At 41.2% G+C, this 22,768-nt stretch overlaps 1 protein-coding gene across 7 annotated transcripts in view, besides 4 other annotated features; it reads right to left on the reverse strand.

Annotated features, from left to right (window-relative positions):
* MIER3 (MIER family member 3) overlaps positions 1–20,241 on the reverse strand; it is a 32,607-nt gene extending 12,366 nt beyond the window's left edge. For 2 of the 7 annotated variants that reach the window (NM_152622.5, NM_001297599.2), the window contains exons 1-8: positions 20,126–20,155; positions 18,660–18,684; positions 14,958–15,103; positions 6,915–7,049; positions 5,610–5,730; positions 3,698–3,783; positions 3,460–3,532; positions 1,279–1,430 (exon numbers count right to left, since the gene is read on the reverse strand). In NM_152622.5, the coding sequence (NP_689835.3) occupies positions 1,279–1,430; positions 3,460–3,532; positions 3,698–3,783; positions 5,610–5,730; positions 6,915–7,049; positions 14,958–15,103; positions 18,660–18,684; positions 20,126–20,134 (747 nt within the window). In that variant the 5' untranslated portion in view covers positions 20,135–20,155. Of the gene's footprint in view, positions 1–1,278; positions 1,431–3,459; positions 3,533–3,697; positions 3,784–5,609; positions 5,731–6,914; positions 7,050–14,957; positions 15,119–18,659; positions 18,685–19,387; positions 19,457–19,531; positions 19,604–20,125 lie in introns of those variants that run through there. The other 5 variants (XM_011543217.3, XM_011543216.3, XM_047416840.1 and 2 more) reach the window with 4 other exon arrangements.
* Positions 18,987–19,076: an enhancer, noted in NCBI's record as "active region_22575". NCBI's record gives its function as "activates an Ori minimal core promoter by ATAC-STARR-seq in GM12878 lymphoblastoid cells {active_cell/tissue: GM12878}" and the evidence as "EXISTENCE:reporter gene assay evidence [ECO:0000049][PMID:35858748]".
* Positions 19,647–19,816: a silencer, noted in NCBI's record as "silent region_16026". NCBI's record gives its function as "represses an Ori minimal core promoter by ATAC-STARR-seq in GM12878 lymphoblastoid cells {active_cell/tissue: GM12878}" and the evidence as "EXISTENCE:reporter gene assay evidence [ECO:0000049][PMID:35858748]".
* Positions 19,877–19,986: a silencer, noted in NCBI's record as "silent region_16027". NCBI's record gives its function as "represses an Ori minimal core promoter by ATAC-STARR-seq in GM12878 lymphoblastoid cells {active_cell/tissue: GM12878}" and the evidence as "EXISTENCE:reporter gene assay evidence [ECO:0000049][PMID:35858748]".
* Positions 20,017–20,436: a silencer, noted in NCBI's record as "silent region_16028". NCBI's record gives its function as "represses an Ori minimal core promoter by ATAC-STARR-seq in GM12878 lymphoblastoid cells {active_cell/tissue: GM12878}" and the evidence as "EXISTENCE:reporter gene assay evidence [ECO:0000049][PMID:35858748]".

Genomic DNA, 22,768 nt, shown 5'->3' on the forward strand with positions numbered 1-22,768 from the left:
ATTTCTCAACATCAACAATATACAATTATAAATATAATAGAGGGCCAGGCAAGGTGGCTCATGCCTGTAATCCCAACATTTTGGGAGGCTGAGGCAGACATATCACAAGGTCAAGAGTTTGAGACCAGCCTGGCGACAAAAATTAGCCAGGCATGGTGATGTGTGCCTCTAATCCCAGTTACTCGGGAGGCTGAGGCAGAAGAAGTGCTTGAACCTGGGAGGTGGAGGTTGCAGTGAGCTGACATTGCGCCACTGCACTCCAGCCTGGGTGACAGAGCAAGACTCCATCTTGGAAAAGTAAATAAATAAATAAATAAAATAGAGCTCCCCTTTCTAATAGCATTGAATACACACACATATAAAAGATATTGAGGTATTACTGAGATGCATGTGATATTCAAAAAAGCAAAAACATTTGAGTTTCTAATGTTATAAAGGTTTTAATTCTTCTAAAATTAATATAGACTTGAAATATCAATACAAAAACCCAATGGGATTTCTTTTTGACAGCTAGTATGACTTCCCTATGTTACTTCAGAATTCAAGTTTGTGTCTGCCTACCTCTGAATACTTATTAGTCAGGGTTGGTGATTCTCAGTGATAAAAGCATATGAAAGAAGCAGAATGATCTCAGAGGGGCAAAACTTAGGGGTATTCGAAAAGCTTAATAGGCAATGTTCCCATCCCCCATCCCACATGTGATCAGGAGAGTATTCTGAATCTACAGGTACACAAGCGCTTAACAAATGCTCCTAAGTCAAATTTATATAGTCTTAATAGACATTACTTTTTAATCACTTCCTAAATAAAGTTGAGAATAATTCAAAGAATACACTTATAAAATCTAAAAGTCCAACCACAGAGAATGTTTAAATAAATGAATTACAAGTATAGGATAAGTACACAGTATGTTGAAATTTAGGGAAAAATTTTTTTTAAAAAGTATAGGATAGACTATACAGACATCAAGAATGAGGTATTAAATAATTCTCAATGGCAAAGGAGAATAAGATTAATTAATTAAAAGGATATAAAATGGCATCTCAAGGAAGACATATGTAAAGGTATTTTTTTAAAGACCAGAAGAAAAGATACAAAACTACAGTGAAGTTATCTCTAGAACTCAAGGTTATGGTTTTTTAAACCAGTATTTTGCATATTTTAAAACTCTTATCAGAAAAGATATCTACCTCACATGTTAAAAATATCTGTATCAAATATAAGAAATCAAGAAGATACTGTAAACTGGCTGCTGTTTCAACAGAAGCTGAAGTATACCTGTTCATTGTCCCTTGTGTGTGTTCCTGCAGAAATCCTATCCATTATTTTTTCACTGCCAGTCCTTAATGAAGTCTCAACAAGGTATTCCTTAACTTTGCTCTCCAAAACCACATCAGGACACCAAAGTAACTGGTCTTCGTTTTCATATACTGATAAAGAAAATCCCATTAACACATTAAAAATCATGAACGCACTCAAAGATGTACACAAACAATTCTTTGTCTTCCTTGATTGGCTATCCAGTGGGACAAGTAAATAACTTTGAAGACACCAGTAATCCGATTATCCGTTAAGTAGGGCCTTTCACACACAAGCGAAAATTTAACTTTATTATAGGCCAAGGATTCCAGGGGCCAAAGCAAGTAGCTTTTTTGGTGGTTGGATATACTGACCAATCTGAAGGCTCTCCATGCCTAGTAAAGTCTAATATAAAACCCCATAGTGGTTATCTTATACTCTTCTAATGAAGGGGCAAAAATAACCTGTGTAAATTCTCTAATAACCTCATTGGACTTTTCTCTTGAAATCCCTAAATTGCTCTATGAAATCTCTAGAGGTTCAAAATTGCAAATAAATAAAACCCAAAATATCTGGTAATAAGGAAATACCTAAGAAGGGTATACTTTTTCTCCCAACAAGATAACTTTTATTTAAAGGAGAAAATAGATTAACCAAACCTCCCTAGGGAGGTTTTTGGGAAGAGGGAGAAACAGTAAGAAAAGTAAACTTTCCACAATCTCTTAAAGACACTGATATATTAATGAACAAAATGTCATTAAAACAAGTTTATGTTTTATTAATGCACTCTGCCACTTTACTCAAAGCTTCTACTTTACACTATAAAGTAATATGAATGGCCCAAGTATTTAGTCCAGTGCTTCAAGTGCAATCTGTTCTTCAAGTGCATAATAAATACTGACTATAGCTAATAAAAATAATTTACCGAGAACACACTACCAGATACCAGGGACCATGATAAGGGCATTATCATCCCAACTGTAGGAGGCAGGCATTGTCATTGCCAGTTAGAAGGAAAGTTAAAAATAAAGTGTGCCTGTGAAGCAGTAAGACTTGACTTTTGAGAGAAGTTCCTAGAACTTTCTTTACTCTTTGGTCACAAGTGAAATAGGTAAAACAATTTGGGTTTATTCCCTCAAAAGACAGAGAAAGTACACCTTCCCTCCAATCTGCAGCACTGACAGAATATCACCTCTACTATGTGTGACCTAAGGACCTACAGTTGCTGAGTATGTACTTGGCTCAAAGGCCAAGTGTGGCATTTGGGTGGTGAGGTGAGAAGGCTGGCACATCTGAACATCATCAGCTATGTTTTGCTTCCCCTGGGATAACTGTCTTTTAACACTTTGAAAGCAGTTTAGGAAAACGGTGTTCCTAGTGGCTGCCATGGCTAACAACCCCAGGGTAACCACTCCTCCCCTCCTTTAAATGGAGGATGACCTGGCATGGAGGAAAGGAAAAAAGAAGGACTCAGGAAGTATTGTGTTGGGTGCTGCTTTTGCCCTTGTGACTTCACAAGGATAAATCAACTTAGGGAAAAGGCCAAACACCCATGGAAATATTCCCAAGTTCAACTAAGAAGGTTTACCTATATTTTTATATCCTACTACCTTATCCCCTCCATATTTTGAAAACCAACTACAGTTGGAATGCACCAAAAACATGAGGAAAAACTGATTACACATAATTAGGAGTATACAAGTGAAAGCAGATCCTTACATTTCACTTCCTGCTCTTTTGGGGCTGGGGAAGGAGAATTTCTTCCAGTCTCTTTTTCCCTCAAGAGTTTTCTTTCCAGAAGATTATATCTTAACATTCTCATTATCTCAGGTGATGAGATCCTACCCACTTCTACTGAAGCAGGATGAAGGCCAAGGTACAGCACCGTGGGAGGCTCCCCATTATTCGAACAGGCACTGAGCACACTGGCTAATAAGCACTATGTGTGCCTTGGGCAGGGTTGGGGGTGGGGGGAAACTCTGAGTCTAGTGATTAACTTTGATACATTTTTCCTAAGTCAGGCCTAAAAATCCTAACTCTGCATGTTTCCCAAATCTATCTATCTATTGCCAAGGCTGGTATAAAGCCAGATATTTAAATACACTTATCAAGTGGTAACCTTATCTACCAAACATTATCAAAATCAAAAGCTTTCCTTACCTTTCTCATTACCATCGTACTCTCCAAGATAAGGGGGAATCTCTGCCTGATATTGTAAACCAATCATTATTTCCTACAGGAAAATTGAGAGGTAAAAATAACTTATTAAAAAAAAAATACTGAAAAAAAGCCCCATATCATTAATCAGTTTCTACAAGTCAAAACAACAAAATTATCATAAATCATTTCAGAAATATTTTTAAAAGCCAATTTAGTCCACTATATTAACTCAGCTTACCTTCCTCAAATCTTCAGGTGAATTACCACTGTCTGTTTCAACATCTTCAACCTCTGATTCCTTATCACCATCACATGCAGTATTTGCTTAAAAGACAAAAATTAAAAAGGTTTTTACTGCCTATTTTTGCAGAACCTGGAAGAATGCCTGTTGTATTTTACAAAATGTTGTTAAATATGTGAGATCAGCATAAGTATACTAAACCACCTGCATGTTTCTCACAATCGACATTGGTCAAAATGAGACACTGAAAATCCTAATAAAGTGTATAGTATCCTGGCCGGTGCAGTGGCTCTCATGGCTGTAATCCTAGCACTTTGGGAGGCTGAGGTGGGTGGATCGCTTGAGGTCAGGAGTTTAAGACCAGCCTGGCCGACAGGCTCTACTAAAAATACAAAAAAATTAGCCGGGCGTGGTGGGGGGTGCCTGTCATCCCAGCTACTCGGGAGGCTGAGGCAGGAGAATCGCCTGAACCTGGGAGGCAAAGGTGGCAGTAAGCCAAGATCACGCCATTGCACTCCAGCCTGGGCAACAGAGTGAGACTCCATCTCAAAAAAAAAAGTGTATAGTATCCTGATAATTATTATGGTATACTATTAAATAGTTTGGGAGGTAAAAGGAAACCACTGTGGTCACCTTAAAAAGAAAGTAAAACACTGGAGTTCTGATTATACTAATCCAGGAGATACACACACAGAGTTGCATATCAGGTCCATCAAAACTGTTTTTGTACACACACGAATGCATGGATATTTGAACTTATTGACCAAACAGTTCTTCTATCATAAAAATACCTAAAAAAAAAAAGTGAGATTGCATCTAAGAAATTATTTTAGTCCAAACATTTTATTTATTTATTTTTAGAAACAGGGTCTCACTCTGTCACCCAGGCTGGAGAGCAGTAGCCTGTTCATGGCTCCCTGTGACCTCAAAGTCCTGAGCTTCAGTGATCCTCCTACCTCAGCCTCCCAGATAGCTGGGACTACATGTGCATGCCACTATGCCCAGCTAAGTTTTTTATTTGAAAATTTTTTTGTAGAGACAGGGTCTTGCTATGTTACCCAGGGTGGTCTAGAACTCCTGGCCTAAAGTGATCCTCTCATCTCAGCCTCCCAAAGTGTTGCAACCACACAACCAACCCCAAAACCTTTTAAATATTACTGATAAACATTAAGAGGTAACACCAAGAACTAATAGGAAAAAGATGAATCATTAAAAGTAAAAATACCTTTTGAGCACTGATAAGTTTTCAAAACCAGGAGAGCAGGAGCCTTTTAATAGAAATTCAAATAAAGGTCTATAAAATTTTGTGGTCAAACTAAGAATGATTACCATAGCAACAGATGAGTCTTGAGAAGGAAAATGGCCTTGTAAAAATAAAGTCAATATTTCCATTTTTATTTTATCTTATTATTATTATTATTATTGAGACAGAATCTCTCTCTGTCACCCAGGCTGCAGTGCAGTAGCATGATCTCCAGCTGGCTGCAACCTTCACCCCCAAGGTTCAAGTGATTCTCGTGCCTCAGCCTCCCAAGTAGCTGGGATTACAAGTGCATGCCACCACACCTGGCTAATTTTTTGTATTTCTAGTAAAGAACAGGTTTCACCATGTTGGCTAGGCTGGTCTCAAACTCCTGGCCTCAAGTGATCTGTCTGCCTCGGCCTCCCAAAGTGCTGGGATTACAGGTGTGAGCCACTGCACCTGGCCAAATATTTCAATTTTTAAATGGCATATTAGTTCACCTCTATCCCAAAAGAAAGGTTATAATCTTGTTTAAATTATAGAAGTATTTTATCTCAACCACATAAAATATTAGAATATTCTGACACAAATTACTGAACACAATAAAATGTACTAAAGCTACAGTATCAATGTTACTATTTATCAGTAATCCACTGGGTTTCTTACATCGTAAAGGCCTAGGGAAGAAATCAGAAGTTTCATGGGAAGTCACAGATGGCGTCAGATCATCCGCAGAAGACTGAGTTTCCTCGTCATCACCTGACAACAGGTCTTTTGCTATTTCCTCCTGGAAGAATAAGAAGGCAGTGCTACAGTTAGAAATGATTACATCTCATTAATTAAGAAAACTATCTTTTTATAACATATCATTAAGAAGCAGTTGGAACCTTATGAGAGAAATATGAAATTCTCCTATGATTTACTTCATGTACATAAATATTTAATATTATATATTATATAATATTCAATAATATACTATTAAATGATAATCAGTGCAACCATATACTAAAACAATTGCCTAATTTGTGGGTATGCAGAGAGCTTATCTAAAGCTGTAGGCTAATTTTTAGTGAATTTACAACAAAAACAGTCTGACTTTTAAGTGGTTAACAATTATATTCATTTTCTGTCAATAATAAAACTGAAAAAATGCCTCCAACCTCCACTCTTCCAATAATTTAAAAGTCCGACTAATGAACAGCACTGACTACTGACATAATTTTAAAAGAAACAAGTTTGAATTAATTTTTATGTAAGTATACAGTCATCCTTGTGCCTAGCACAAAGTAGCCACTCAATAAATACTTGTTGAATGACTATGGTCATTAAGGTCTGTGGTACATTAATATCACATTGACTTAAAAGTGGGAACAATATAACTCACAGGAAGAGGTTCCAAGATGTGGATTCCTCTCCCTGCCTGAGATCTGAAAGGCAAGGAAAGGTTCCCAGGGATCTGTTAGCAGAGGCCATGGCCGTGTGAATTTTCCTCAGCAGGGACTAGGCCTCCCCACAACCAGCCTACGTTAGAGATGGATCACCGCGGTCTTGGCTGCTGCGGCCGCTGTCACTCCCAGAGCCAAGAAAACAGAACTTCTCTCCAACCACTCCACGCCTAAGCCAGCTTGGTTTGAAGGCTTCTGGGGGATTTATTAATCAAGGCTTTTATGTGTTTATAGGATCAAAAGAAGTTAAGGCAAAATCTAAGTTTAGATACAATGTGTCTACACAGGAAAGATGAAAACATTATGGGAGAATATTCAGGCATGCAAAGTACCATGAAGCTGCTATTAATACTACTCTTAACATAGGGTGATCAAAGCCAAACAAAGTTTAAATCAGCCACCAAAATAAGCACAATGGGTCAACAAGAAGTTTACATTTAAGAATTATTAAATAATACTTTAAATGGAAGTAAAAGCAGTCAATGGTAACAGACCCTGAATTTTTCTTTCAAATGCTCACACTTACTTTGTCTAGTGTCATGTCTGGTAGTTCATCTGCCAGTTCACTTGGGGAACTATTTGCACTGGAATTTGCAACTGCTGGAATTGTAGGTTCATAGCCATAGAATGCCAGTAAATCTTCTAGAGGCATGGTTCCTTCCTGTTCAAGCCAGGGCATAAACACGGACTCAGCAGATGTCACAATACTGAACTGCAGGTAAACTGTACTGTCCTTAGGTTCAGAAAGCACATTATCAAAACAGCAGAACAAATCAAAGGCAAGTTTCAGTTTTTCTTTTTGTGCTGTTGTCAGAAAACAGGACCAAACACCTGGAGCTATAATTAATGTATAAACAACAGCCTAACAATTAACACCTTAGTTTTTATTTTCTAGAAGCATTTTACTATTTTAAAAATTCCTCAAATATTTGCTTTAGTGCCTTTTTTTTTGCTTTCAAGTTAACATAAAGATTTGCCCTGAAAACATTTCCAATTAATCAATCAATAACTTGTAATTCACAGCTTCTTTCCTTGCATTTAACAGCTGACCACTTGCTTTATTCTTCATGTTAATTAGAAGACACCTGGTAGAAAACCTTTGCTGAATGTTTACTAACATCAGCAATATTTATGTTCAAAGAACAATTATCCTTTTATATTCTTACTACATCTCCTATCTTTATACCAGTTTTTTTAAAACAACTGTCTGAGGAAGATTATACTGTTATCACCATTTCACAGGTGAGAAAACTGTGGCTTAATTCTGGGTTTGAATCCCAGTTCCCCAAGTTATCTCACTGGCTGCACTGCTTTAATAAAATTACATACCCTGGCTACAGTGCTGCCTATGTTATGAATACCTACGCCATGCCTCACAGTGACACCAAGTCACTGTTCCCCTCTAGGAATCCATGTGAAAATAAGTGTTACCATGCACAACGTAACATTCAGTACATGCAGACTGCATATACAGCCAGGATGCACATACAGCTGTGGTAGGAATAATATGCTACACCATATAGCCTAGGTGTGTAGTAGGCTACATTAACTACTTTTGTCTAAGCATACTCTATGATGTTCACACAGCAATGAAACTGCCTAATGACGCCTTTTTCAGAATGTATTCCCTTGTTCAGTGACACATGACTATGTTTTAACTACTAAAGTGTATAGAACTATTTATCATTCAAGGCCAGTCGCAGTGGCTCACTCCTGTAATCCTAGCATTTTGGGAGGCCGAGGCAGGCAGATCACTTGAGGTCAGGAGTTCGAGACCAGCCTGGCCAACATGGTGAAACCCCGTCTCTACTAAAAATACAAAAAAAGAACTATTTATCATTCGAATAAATAACCTCAAAACAATATACTCACGAACTAGTTAATCTGTTAAACATTTTTAAGATTTCTGTATCCATCAATTAAGAGATTTTTAAAATTTGCTTATGGTTTAGTTTTCCCTTTAAAATAAAATAATCCGTAAAGCAAACAACATGAAAACACTAAAGCAGAGTGTGCAAAACATGCCCACAGTTGATCACAAAGTGACCTGAGAAGAGCCAGTGATGATTCCTTAGAGGGCCAGCTGGCTGCCCACAGGGCCCACAGGGGATGCAAAAGTTTGGCCTTCACCTTTGCAGGTATGGAACTTACATAATTTATTGTGTCTAACTAAAACAGATTTATGCTCAATGAACTTACAAACAGGTATATGATAGAACACTAATTTATAAATTTGCAGTAGTAGACATACGCCTTTCTAATGACCATAAATGATCATGAAAATCTTTTTTAGCTTGGGATTTAAATCAACCAAAAGTCCTCTGGGAGCATGGAATCAGCATAAATTGAATTGGATGGTCAGAACAGGGTGAAGTTCACCTACACCATGGGGAAACTTCAATGAATTATTTTTCTTCCAAACCAAAGAATCCATTGAAGCTAACAAGACTCAAATTTAGAGTCTCTCTACAGTCCTATCTTGCTCCTTGCAGAGTCCATGCAGCCCATTCCCTTTGGCTCATATTGGTTCTAATACAAGAGGTGCCTGGGTTGCAGCCTTTGCCAAGCACCTGTCAGTAGTATTTCCGCAGAACCTCACAGTTTCACACTCTCTCCCTGAAATGGGGAGTGGCAATTTTCACCTTTTATGCACTGATGGTCCACCTTCCCATCATTTACTCAGTTCTAAGTGCTTGGCTGAGGGCTACTAGCTACTTGCTACTGGACATACAAATGAAATTTACTGAAGAATCCCTGCTCACAAGGAATTCAGTCTTAGTGGGAGGAACTTAGTGGGAGTAAGTCTCAAAGTCTGTAAGGATGTAAGGATGAGTTAGCCATTATGATACAATGTGATGGCTTCAATATTCAATTGTGACTATAGACAAGGGCAGACCTACACCCCAAGAATACTGGTATGGAGTATGGAGGTATGCACAGAGGGTGAAGACTGAGCTAAGTCTTGAAAGATGACAAGGCTTTTGACAATACACAAATATAGGGCTGCCAAGTTTGATGAGTGTAACAAACAAATAGAGCCCTGAGATACAGAGTAACACTCGGGGCCCACTTCCAGAGGGTAGCAGGGAAAGACAGTCAGCAATCTTCAGCGGAGGCCTGAAGTCTGAGAAGGCCAGTCCCATGAAGAGTATTCCAGGCAAAAAAAAAAGACATATGTGAGGCCTGAAGGTGGTTCCCTGCTAAGCCAAGTGGCCAAAGTTTGGTGAGTAGAATGAAGAATGGCTCAAGAGAATGGAAAGAGAGGCAGGGACAGATCGCAAAGGGCCTCAGGGCCAGGGAAAGGAACTTGGACTTCATTCCCAGGGCAATGAGGAGCCATTAGAGACTCATAAAAAGGGAGTACCATGGCATTATTTCTTCTTAAAATACTGAACACCTGCATGAAGAAAAGTTAAGAAGGGTGGAGAGATACAAGAGAAGCAGGGAAACCACTTAAAAAGCCTCATGCTAGGTGAGGGTACTGATACACAAGAGGAGAGAAGTGAAGAGAAGAGACATATTCTGAGGTGGAACCAAATGGGTCACTGGACGTGGGAGGGAAAGGGAAGGAGGACTCCCCAGTTTTCTATTTGAGCAATTGCCTAGATGGTGGTAACTTCTGCCAAGATAAAGAATACTAAAGGAATAAAAGGTTTTTGAAGAAAAAAACAACAACAACAAGAGTTCTGCAAAGGACACAGTTAAGTTTAAGAGGACTATGAAACATCCAAGTAGAAAAGTCAGGTTGGCCAGGAGCCTGGAGCTCAGAGAACCAGGCTGGGCTAAAGATATAAATCTGGCATTCATTAGCATCTAGATGATATTTAAAGCCACAGAAGTTGATGAGCTCACCCACGGAGAGGGTAGAGAGAAAAGAGGAAGGGATCTATGCTTATCAGAAGAACTTTCAGATGTATTACACTATGGGCAATGGGTATGTCTGAAAATTCTTAAACATGATTTGTATTTTGGAAATAATGTTGTAAGGGAAGTAGAATGAGAGCCTGAACTAAGGAGGGGGATTATTTGAGTGAAATTTAGGGAAAGATCCCTTTCTTGAGTTACTTGATACAAGGAATGAAAGCAACACAGGAGTCTAAATGGATTGCCAGATTTCTGGCCTGAGAAGTTAGGTAACTATAGCACCACTATGAGACAGAAGCACAAGATAAACTTAAGGATGGGATGGTAACGATGAGTTTAAGGTGAAAGTTAAAGCAGTGGGTTTGAGTGAGAACACCCAGAAAAGGCACACAGAGTGAGACGATAATAGCCAAAACCCTGGAGAATGTTAATTAAAATGCGGGCAAAGAAAGAAAAGATCATAAAATAAGAAAGAGGGAGAAGCCAGAAAATAGAACGAGGAAAAAGTAGGATTACTTAAATTAAGGCAGAAACAAGTATGGATAATCAAGAATGGTCACTTGGGTCAAATTCCAAAAAGAAACTGAGCAAGAGAAAGACAAGAAATCTTAGTATCTGGCAATCAGGAATTATTGGTGACCTGGGACAAGCGCGGTAGCTGCTGCCTGTAATCCCAGCACTTTGGGACGCCAAGGTAGGATTGCTCGAGCCCAGGAGTTGGAGACCAGCCTGGGCATTGCAAGACCCCTTCTCTATAAAAAAAATTTTTTTTTAAATTAGCCAGGGTGGTGGGATACACCAGTAATCCCTGGGCTTTGGGAAGCTGAGTGGGGGAAAACTGCTTAAGCCCAGGAGGTCAAGGCTGCAGTTGGCATGATGATACCGCTGCACTCTAGCCTGGGTGACAGAGTGAGACCATCTCTAAAAAAGTAATTATTGGTGGCCTTATAGCATGGTGGAAGAAGCCAAGCTAAAGACTGAACGGGAGGGAAGAAAGTACATACATGACTTGAGACTTGGCTACAAAAGGAGAGTGACTGAGGGCAACACAAGATCAAAAGAGAATTTCTTCCAAATGTGGGATCTGCATTAGTAGGATTCTTATGTGGAAATTTAAAAAAAAAAAAGGTAGAAGAATAAATTGAGGGCAGGAGGGATAGAATCTAGAGGTTAGCCTGGGATATCACAGATACTTTGCAGGACAGGAGGGAAAGAATAATATAAAAGTTTGTACATGTGAGGGAGACAGGAGGTTCCCAGCATCCACTCAAGAAAACCCCGCTTTTCTATAAAGACACAGGAATGACCATCTGTTGAGGGACAAGATGACCATCTCCGTAGAAACTGCATTAATAAGTTCAAGGGATGACACGGGTGGCCAGAGGGCTGATGCTAAAACACACATCATTTGCACCAAAACTTTTAAAGCAAAACTGGAAAAGGTGAATCTAGTCTCTGAAGCACTTCACAAATGAACTCTCTTTGAGAGCCTATTAATAAAGCACTTAAGTCCTTTAAAACATAAAAACAATTTTTTCAAAATTGAATTAGTAAGTCTCAAAGTCTGTAAGGATCTGTGGTAGCTAAATCAGCTTAGAAGTGTGATCCATCACCTTATCCCGGGTATAAGGATTTTTCTCTTCCTCTTCTTGGGTATTTTGTTGAACCTATTTACATTTTAAGGGACACAGTAGAGTCTAGTCACACTTATAAATGAACTGTTCTGTAAGTCAAAGGATTTATATCAGGAAGAGAACCAGATTTAGGGCAAAAGATCCACTAATTGCTAACCAATATCTTGGACAAATCACCTAATCCCTCTCACCTCCATTTCCTCACATACCATCATTTCCTTGATCCTATGATGCACTCCCTCACATATCAGAATCAGGATGTAGCCTGATACTAAAGTGCAAACTTCATATACAAGCGTTCCTCCACCACCTGCACTGTTTAGAAGTCAACAGTAGGCTGGGCGCGGTGGCTCACGCCTGTAATCCCAGCACTTTGGGAGGCCGAGGAGGGCAGATCACGAGGTCAGGAGATCGAGACCATCCTGGCTAACACGGTGAAACCCCGTCTCTACTAAAAAAAAAAAAATACAAAAAAAATTAGCCAGGCTTGGTGGCGGGCACCTATAGTCCCAGCTATTCAGGAAGCTGAGGCAGGAGAATGGCGTGAATCCGGGAGGCGGAGCCTGCAGTAAGCCAAGATTGCGCCACTGCACTCCAGCCTGGGCGACAGAGCGAGACTCCGTCTCAAAAAAAAAAAAAGAAATCAACAGTACATCCTACAATCAACAAGGCCTCTGAGCCTAGAAAAATAATGCCAGTATTCATCTGACACAACTGATGGTATCACTGGATGGACCAAATGAGGCTGAGATGCATTTTAATGTTAGTAACTAACGCCTGTCTGATACCTTAAGGCACAGGCTGCAAAACTATATACATATAATTTGTTTAAATGTCTGGTGATCTTTTTTTTTCCAGACAGGGTCTCAGTCTGTCACATACTCTGGAATACAGTGGCACAATCATAGCTCACTGCAACCTTGAACTTCTGGGATGATCAAGTGATCCTCCCACCTCAGCCTCCCAAGTAGCTGGGGCTACTAGCATGCACCATCACACCCAGCTAATTGTTAAATTTTTTTGGTAGAAACAGGGTCTCACTATGTGGCCCAGGCTGGTCTCAGACTCCTGGGCTCAAGCGATCATCCCACTTCAGCCTCCCAAAGTGTTGAGATTACATGTCTGAGCCACTGCCCCCAGCCTAAATGCCTTTTTTTCTTTTAACAAAAAAGGAAAAACCTATACTAAAGTTAAATGGTAGAAAAAGTGATATTTTACTTTCTCATTTGTGCTTTTCTGAATTTTTGAATTTTTCTCACAGTGAACATCAAGGGGGTAATTATGTATTAATAAAAGTAGAAATAAGAACTCTTTAAAAAGTTCTACCAGCCAGGTGTGGTGGCTCATGCTATAATCCCAGCACTTTGGAAGGCCGAGGCAGGTGGACTGCCTGAGGTCAGGAGTTCAAGACCAGCCTGGCCAACATGGCAAAACCCCGTCTCTACCAAAAATACAAAAAGTAGCCAGGTGTGGTGGTGGATGCCTGTAATCCCAACTACTCGGGAGGCTGAGGCAGGAGAATCACTTGAACCCAGGAGGCAGAGGCTGCAGTGAGCCGAGATTGTGCCACTGCACTCCAGCCTGCGCAATGGAGCAAGTCTTCGTCTCAAAAAAAAAAAGTTCTACCTATAAATCTAGGTCTATTAAAAGCTCTCAGATGGCAGTAATATGCATACATTAAAATATATAAAGATATTACATAAACCCTATTTTAGTATGTTTAGTAACTAAAATCTAGCCACATATTCTATACTCAAAGTGCTACTACGAGAAAATTGCTTTAGTACTTACCTTATTTTCCATAACACGACGTACTAAAAATTTGTAAACACCAAAATATGGGCCACATTACAGTCAACACACAACTGAGTTTATTTACTATGAACATAAAAACTTATAATTCTTGAAAATGAACATTAACATCAATCCCCTAAGACTGTTAACATGCACCAATACCTAAATCCCTATTCCACTAAAAAAGATTAAGAGAATACACTATTTCAAGTGATATAGAAATAATCAAAACATAATTTAAAATTCCTTCTAAAAGCTTGATCCTTACTCTTTATATTTGTGTCTCTACTGTTTCTTTTATTCATTTTCATGTTTCATTAAACATCAATAAAAAGAATAGAGACCACATGTATACAGTTGTACTTCACTACAGATAAGAACAACAGATCAGAGCAAGTGGGCAGTTAAGTCACTCTTCTGTTTCCCTGTGTATTAACATGAAGAAGGAAATAAAATAATACTCCACTCCTGCCTCACAAAGCTACTAAGCAGAGGAGATGATATATATAAGAATGTGCTTGCCCTTTTCAAGAAAAAGAGGTATAAGAAACTCAGGGGATAAGTATCATTTCTGAAAGCTTTTGTTATTCTGGCTGATAAGAAATTTTCAAATATGGTTAAGTAAGCATAAATCCTACACGTTTTCAAGGTGACCCCTATAGGGACCTCTCTATATACAGTCCTGGTATAAATGCATGAAAATACAGTTCATTTGAATTTATATTGACTTGGGGCTTAAAAAATTACAAACTACACTCACTCTTGCCAACCTTTTCAAAGATGACTTTTAAAGGAGCAGGGGATGGGATATTACCAATTTATATTTGAAAATACAGTAAATCTTTTTCAATTTTCTTAAAATATTCCACTAGATTATGAGTTATTTGAAGGAAAAGGCTTCTCTCTGTATCTACTACAGTACTTATACAAATTCAAGTTTGACCCTTAGCAGAATAGTAGTTACAATGGAAAGAGGGCTAGACTAGGATTCAGAAATAATCTTAGGGCTTATAGTTTTCCGTATCTCAATTTTCTCATCTGTAAAATGCCTACGTGTACCTACTTCACTGTGTTGATATAAGCTTAAAAATTAAGTTAACAGATACAAAATAATTTTGAAAAATTAAATGAAAGCATACTTATTAGGCTATCCCCCAAAATAAGAGTGAAAAAAAAAAGGATTATGATCCTATTTTTATTTCAGGTAGATTATTTTTAAAATTACAACAGAATTTCAAAATCTTTGTTAAGTTTGTATATTAAAGTAAATCTTATACCTTTTCTAAGTCTTCAATTTCTGAACTGAAGTTTTTACCCTCATCCATCATTTCCTCTTCTTCAAGAGTTCTTTCATCATCATAGTCATGGACCAACATCTCAGCAGTGGGGTCAAAATCATGATCCTCAGAAGACAAAGACCCAACTGGAATAAAACAAACTGAATCACTTTACACATTTACAAGGCTATTAACAAAAGAAAATAAAAATTTGTGTTCTTCTGCCAGTCCCTTTTCATGTTTATATGAGGGTTTTACTAAATGAATTTACTATATAATTTATAGGTTATAAATTAAGACCCCATGATTCTGAAAATATGTCTAAATCAGCAAAATAACAAGGCAAAGTTATTCACAAACACTTTTATAAGGGGTTTAGTCCACAAGAAAACAACTTATGATAACAACAAAGTGATTTAAGCAGCATGGTTTTAAAGAAACATTCTAATAGAAAAAGTCAAACTTGCTTATCATTTAATACATCTGTCTAAAAGCAATAGCAAAATATCAGAAAGATTAAATTTCCATGAATGGAAGATTTCACAAGAATCGACTATACACTAAGATGCACACTTCAGGATAATATAAATTTTACTCAAATTCTAACCCTCAAATAAAGACAGAAAACACAACAAAAATCTGCTTTATAAAACAAATATAAGTTTCTGTGAAGCAGCTATACAGCCATTCAGCTTTTAAAAGCATTGTATCACTTTACATTTCTCTAACAGTACTTCAAGTTCCCTAGCATTAATCAGACAAGCATTAAACTGTAAGACTTTGCTTTACTTTGGATTACTAACAAAGTTCTTAGGATTATGTGTAGGGAATACAGAAAATCACATCTGAAGGTTTTGGAAGATATATCCATTGCAAGTTGTTTTGGATAATTCATACTTGTTTATAAAACTATAATATCTTTTAATAGCAAATATGAAGTCAATAGGAAACTCCAAAAACCAAGAGAAGAAATGACTAAAATCCATAATCCCAAAGAAATGAAATCAAATTTATAAAAAAACAGGATTTTCTCCACTTGTTTTACTCTAGTATCCAATTCAATTAGACCCGTAACCCTCAGAGCAAGGAAGGAAAGTATCAGAAACTGAGGTTGGGGGAAGGAAGAAGTGGATGGAAGCATACTCAACATAAAAAGTTTAATCTGTTCTTAGTCAAGCTACTGAATATTTTAAAATTTCAAACATTTCAGGACAGTGTGAGATCATTACCAAAACACTGAACTGGGCCAAAGATTTTTCACTATGGAAAAACCACACACATAATTCATTATTTTTGATTCTGGGTTCAGAGAACTCTAATTAGTTCTAAAAATACAATTTCTACAGGACTTTATTTTTTGGCAGGTTTACATTATGTTATCTTCCTTAATGTTGAAAAATATCTGCTCATTTAAAAACTTGTTGATTTACATGTGGTTTAATTTAAAAAGAAATATAGGCCGGGGTGGTGGCTCATGCCTGTAATCCCAGCACTTTGGGAGGCCGAAGTGGGGGGATCACCTGAGGTCAGGAGTTCCAGACCAGCCTGGTCAACATAGCGAAACCCTGTCTCTACTAACAATACAAAAAAATTAGCCGGGCATGGTGGTGGGCACCTGTAATACCACCAGCTACGTGGGAGGCTGAGGCAGGAGAATCGCTTGAACCTGGGAGGTCGAGGCTGTAGTGAGCCAAGATCACACCACTGCACTCCAGCCTGAGCAATGGAGCAAGACTCCATCTCAAAAAACAAAAAAACAACAAAAAAGAAATAAGAATATTTATTAATTAGCTCACATCCACCATTACAAATTTTCTTTTTTTGAGGAATTCTTGGCAAGTTCCATGGTATGCCAAAGAGGCAGAAATGAAATAGATGCTGACTCTTTCACCTCTTTGGTAGCAGAGCTCCTCTGGGCTCTTCTGTTACTCTTCTATCACTTGGCACAACAGGCCTCCCCTTTAACATGGAAGGTATTCAGTAAGGGTCAAAAATCGAAGGACCTGAGGGTCTACTCCCAGCTTTGTCCTTGGCTTTTTGGGACCTAAAGGAAGTCATTTAAACTTTCTAGGTCTAGCTCCTGTCTTCCATTTGCAAAATACATGGGGATGACTGAAAGGACCTCAAAAGTCCCTTCCAACTCTAAAATTCTCTTTTTAAAAAACTGGCTAATTAATCCCAGCACTTTGGGAGGCCGAGGCAGGCGGATCACTTGAGGTCAGGAGTTCAAGATCAGCCTAGCCAGCATGGTGAAACCCCATCTCTACTAAAAATACAAAAAAATCAGCCAGGTGTGGTGGCGCATCCCTGTAGTACCAGCCACCTGGGAGGCTGAGGCAGGAGAACAGCTTGAACCTCAAAGGCGGAGGTTACAGTGAGATTGCCCCATTGCACTCCAGCCTGCATAACGTCTCAAACAAACAAACAAAAAACAAAAAGAGGCTAATTGATTAAAAACAGGTTACACTGTCTTTTGGCTTATTTAGAGTGCAACTTCTTAAAAGAAGTCAGTGATACCAAATGGAAAAATTCCATTAATCCAGCTGTTTGACATCATGTATATATTTTCCTAAAATCAGTTATAACAAAAAAGTTCATCTCAAAATTAACAAAAATTTTTAGAATTTTAAAGATATAGACAGCTATTTTTAAAATAGCTGCAAATTTCTTCTACTTGGTGTTATAATACCTTAAATGACAGTCAAGTGAGGCTCTGAAGGTGGAGCAGATACAAAAAGTAATAGTGTAAGGAAACTGACTATTCACTCTATGGAAACAAGTTGTAATGGAAGATTTAGGAGCTCATCTGTGCTCCACCACTAACGAAAGTTATTTAAAAGTCTCCTCAACTGTAAAATAATGGAGTTGGACTAGTTCAGAGGTGCTTTTCCTGTAGACTAGGAGAGGGAAGACAGCAAAGAGGTAAGCTAGAAAGGAAATGAGAAACTGAAACAAAGATACCTTACATGATTAGCACATGAGGAAAGGTCCTTATGGACCTGCTACAGGGATTCTACAAACCCCAGATTGTGTGTAATTATGCATATGTGCAGAGTTCTGGGACACATCCCTTGCTTTCATTAGATCCTGACAGGGGTTTCTGACCTCAGGAAAGTTAAGAAACACTGTACTAGATGACCTAAGATCGTCTCAGCTCAGAAGTCAAAATCACCCTTTTTCTGTGCCAAACTTGGAAGTTCTGTCTTTTTTATTAAGGTAGCTTTACCTCTCAACTTCCAATTTTAACACAACTCATAGACATTTAATTATGAAAAAGAAACAACGTAAGAGGAGATGAGGGGTTACAGTTAGTGAAGTAGTCCCAGAGTTCTGACAAATTACTCAATCTCTAGAAGAAACCGAAGTTAAAATCTAAATTGCTAAAGTTGGTGTCAAGTTAATTTGGGATTAACTGTTTCAGGCTCGGAGGAAAAATAAGATATGTAATAATTAAAGCCATATTCCTTAAAAGAACGCTTGTCTTAGCAACTTTGTAACAGTTACTTTTTCAACATGCAAGAGAAAACAAAGAACAGTATAACTGTTTCTTCCCCAAACTTTACTAAATGCACACTGAAACTCTTAAAAATCAATGAAGAAAAACCTGCAGGATACATTTCTATTGGGAATCCTTTAGCAACAGACCTTTGAGCCCACATTACCCACTGGGAACCACCGAAGACGTAAGAAAATAGGACAAACCTGGGCTCGAACTTCCAAAAGAAGCCTAGGAGAGAGAGAAGAAAACGTGAGGTTAGATCGCACAGCCAGGGAAAGAGGCAGCGCCGGCAACAGGGCGCAGAGGAGGCGGAGTCGAGCGCTCCTCCGCAGCTGCCAAAAGTGCAAGACGTAGCTTCACTCGAATCGCTCCCGGCCCCTTTCGGGCCCCCTCTTGGCTGCCTCGCCTTCCTCCCCGAGTCCCAAGTGTACAAACTCACAGACCCGGGACGAAGCCCGGAGTCTGAGAGGCAACTCCAAGTCGCTTCTTGGAGCTCAGCAAGTTTCCAAGCAGAGAAGCAAAACCCAGAGCAGTCGGCTGGCACCATCAGTCCCCCATCCCTGGCATCTCCGGAGTCCTCCAAATCCCACCCGGCTCTCCGAAGCCCCAAACAACTCGAAACGTAACACCCTTTTCTGGAACGAACTCGCGTTCTGAGCACCTAGTTCGCCCCTGGGGCCCGGGAGCCCCAACTCCGAAGCCGATCTCTTCCCCTGCAGCGTAGGCCAGCTCGAATCGGACACTCGCCCCCAAACCAAAGCGCGAGCCCCCCATCCTCTCTCTCGAGTCCAGAGATGCAGCTCCTCTCAGTTCCAGGGATGCTGGCTCCTTCCAGAGTGTTCAGTCCCTCCCTGGACCGTCAGCGCGCCCCCCGCCCCAGCGAGCTCCAGCCCAGGGGCTCCTGCCACACCGCCCCCTCCCCCCAGCTCACCAGTCCCGGGGGACATGGCCGGGGCAGCTTCGCTCGCCCAGCCTTCCTTCCTCCAGCCCAGAGAAAACTGGAGCTATCAAGCCGCTCTCCTGGAGAGGGCGTCGAGGGTCTCGGTCTGCCCTTTAACCCCAGGGGCTCCCGCACCTCCCGGGCTGCGGGGTGGGGAGTCCCGCTCTTCTGAGAAGCCCGGTGGCCCCGCATCCCGCTCTTCTCCGCGCCCCCAGCAAAGTGAAGCGTGCGGCTCCTTCGCGCCGCAGCCCGGGCCCGGTGGGCCGGGGGCACAGCGCACGACTCCCGCAGGGCAGTGGCGCAGCCCGCTCCCCTCTTTGCGATCCGGCCGCGGAGGGGGGGCTCCGCCGGTTTCCACCCACCCGGGCCCGGGGAAGAGGCGCGGAGGCGCCGGCGGCCCGCGTCAGCGACCGGGGACACGGCACTGCCTCGTCCCTGGGGCAGGGCTCACTGCAGCCGGCCGCCACCTCCGTCCGGCTCGGTCGCCCGGCCCGACCGGGGCCGGAGCCGCCGCGGCCTAGTCCCGGAGGGAGACCGCTCCCGCGCCCGCTCCCGCCCCCCGGCCAGCCCCGCCACGGCCAGTCGCCGCCCCGCGACCCCCGCGTCGCCACGCCGCCCCTCATGGGGCAGCGGAAAGAGCCCCGGATCCCCCAGGCTGGCTCGGGGGTCGCGGGGAGCCGCCGGGCGCCCGCTCCAGCCCGGCTGCTCCTGCCCGGTTTCCCTGCTCACCTCCGCCATATTGGTACCTTTAGGGCGAACGAGCAGCGCCGAGCCCAGTCCCCGGATGGGGCGCCTGAGCCAATCGCAGCCGCCGCCGCCACCGCCGCGGTCCGCCCGGCACCCGCCCGGCGGCGGAGGCGGCACGGCCCCTTATAGGGCAGGGCGGCCCGCGACGCCCCCGGCCCGCTCGCAAGCCGACGCCGCCCGGCGCCCCTCGCCGCCCCCGCGCCGGCCCCAGCCGGCCAGACCCGCACCCGCGCGCACCGTCCTTCTCCTCCTGGCTGGTGTAAAGTTCCTGCCGAATTGGAGGCAAGTGGGGGACGGACGGACGCGCGGGCGCGGGACAGACCCACGTCCAGCCAGTGGAGGCCCAAGAGCCGGCGGGCGCGTCTGGGAACCGACCCACAGACACCGCGGCGCGGGAGGGCGTGCGGGAGGCGGGCAGGAGACTTGGACTGGCAGGCGATGTGCAGGGGAACTCGACAGACTCAACTTCCCTAAGAGGAGGAGGCGATCTATGAAATAGACAGATGTGGGAGGAAGCCCTGGGAAATGGGAGAAGAGGCTGGTGGATGGCAGAGTCAGTCCAGAATGAGAGGACTACAGTCAGGCACTTTGCCGTTTCCACGAAGGGACCTGCAGGAATGGGAGATGGAGACCGGTGTACACTGCTCACGGAGTGGACAATGGAAGTAGACATTTGCCAAACAGGTTATTGACAGCACAGAAGAAAAGACAAAAGATCGACAGGGCAGAGAAATGATGCTGAATATACTTGTACAGTTCAAGAAGATGCCCAAAAAATATAAACTGTGCTGTTATCCAAAAAAAAAAAAAAAAAAATTAGACCAGTTCTAGGAATTGTTCATCACCAACGTGTCTTAGGGGATGACCCAGAGATACTTGATACATCTGTTGAAGGACAGGAACAGCATATCAAAGGCCCTGAACTGAGTCTCAAAAATTCTACCCCTCACTTCCCTCACTTCTCCAAAAAGGCCAAACGTTTGGGTAGGATCATAAAAGGAAACTAGTCCCCTGTGCAAGTGGATGGGTGAAAGACGGAGCATAAGGCTTAACAGGAATACCTGCTCGTACATGTTCCTTATGACCATTTGCTCTTCATTGGAGGAGATTACTCTCCGGAAGGTCCACATCCACACTGAAAGACTTTGAGCCAAGTACACAAAAATATACACTAACGACTGATTGGAGAGTTAGGTCCTGCAAGAAGTTAAAGTAAGGTATGGAGTTGCCCTAGCAAATTTGGAGGACACATTGTCCTAAAGTGGGAGGCCAATTCTATCTGTGGAAAAGAAAGTCGGCTGTAAGGTACATGAATAAGTGAGATGCAAATACCATCAGGAATTATAGCAGGACCCTACAGGAATTTGGAGAGAGTGATCTCAGACACCAGAGCTCTTCTCCCAGCTTTTTTCTAAAACATACGTAATATTAAATGATAAAGACAAGTTTTTAGAAGCTAAAACTTTCCATACGTCATACTTTTAATCCAAACATGAAAGGTCTTGATTTTAACCTGGGGTCCCTCCAATTCCCTTATTGCTGGAGTGCATACTGAGGATGAGGCTGGAGACTGGAGGTAGGGAGAGGGTTATTTTCAAATTTTTTGCCAAGGCATCTCAAAATCAAGCTTATGCCACGGGTAAAAGTTATTTACTTATGGAAATTTTAGGGAAAAATCACTCCAACTATTTCTAAACATCATAAAGACATGGAAAATTACACTTTCCCTGCTGTGAAAGATATCTTTCGACCTTTTGTCCAGTCAAATAACTCAAAAACAGCTAAACTTTGAAACCAGACCTTGGCACACATTGTATGTACTGTCCTCAATGAGGCGTTCAGAGTTTTCAAAGTAAAAAAAAATGGCTTGAAATTAAGTACAAGTGAATAACTTTAGAAATGACGCAGTGAGCACGCGCTGTGGACAGAACCATGAAACAGTGCCCTGAGCAGCTGGACCGCAGTCTGAGCCACGTGAAGAAAGTGTCTCCAACAACCTGCCTCATACATTACACTGGGAAAAACATTTTCTTCCCAGCAAACTTGGCTAATCCAAACTATAAATGTAGTCTTAGATTATATGTTTTGCCATAACTGAAATATACACAGATTTATTCACTTTCATGAATCTAGTAATGTTTCTGTAGACTTTCTTTATATTCAATTGTAAAGATTTTGTATAGGCATTTGTAATTTTGATTGTTATATGCTCCCTATTATAGAACGTAGTGTAGGAAGTCTGAGTCCATGGTATTAAATAAGGATTCAGACAAAGATAAATGAAGCTAAATTTATTAGCAGTTGAAGGTAGCAGAGCTACTTTCCCCCACCTGATCACTAGAGAAAGTTTATCACTCAGTCTTACATAACACATTCCTTTATGATAAAGTGTGTAAAGTCTATATGTAGATGGAGCTCTCATTCTTTCTGATTGACAAGACTTTCATGAGTCAGTACAGATTAAAAATCCTTGTGACCCAAGGAGTTTAAATTAAAATACTATTACTTTTTACTTTTATTATCCTGTAACTATGCAATACAGGGCATTATATAGAAAGTGCTAGATGCTGGGCACTGTGGGACCACCATAAAAATGTCCTTGTCCCCCAAAAGCTTACAATCTAA

Source organism: Homo sapiens, chromosome 5, assembly GCF_000001405.40.
Source record: "Homo sapiens chromosome 5, GRCh38.p14 Primary Assembly".
NCBI classification, from domain to species: Eukaryota; Metazoa; Chordata; class Mammalia; order Primates; family Hominidae; genus Homo; species Homo sapiens.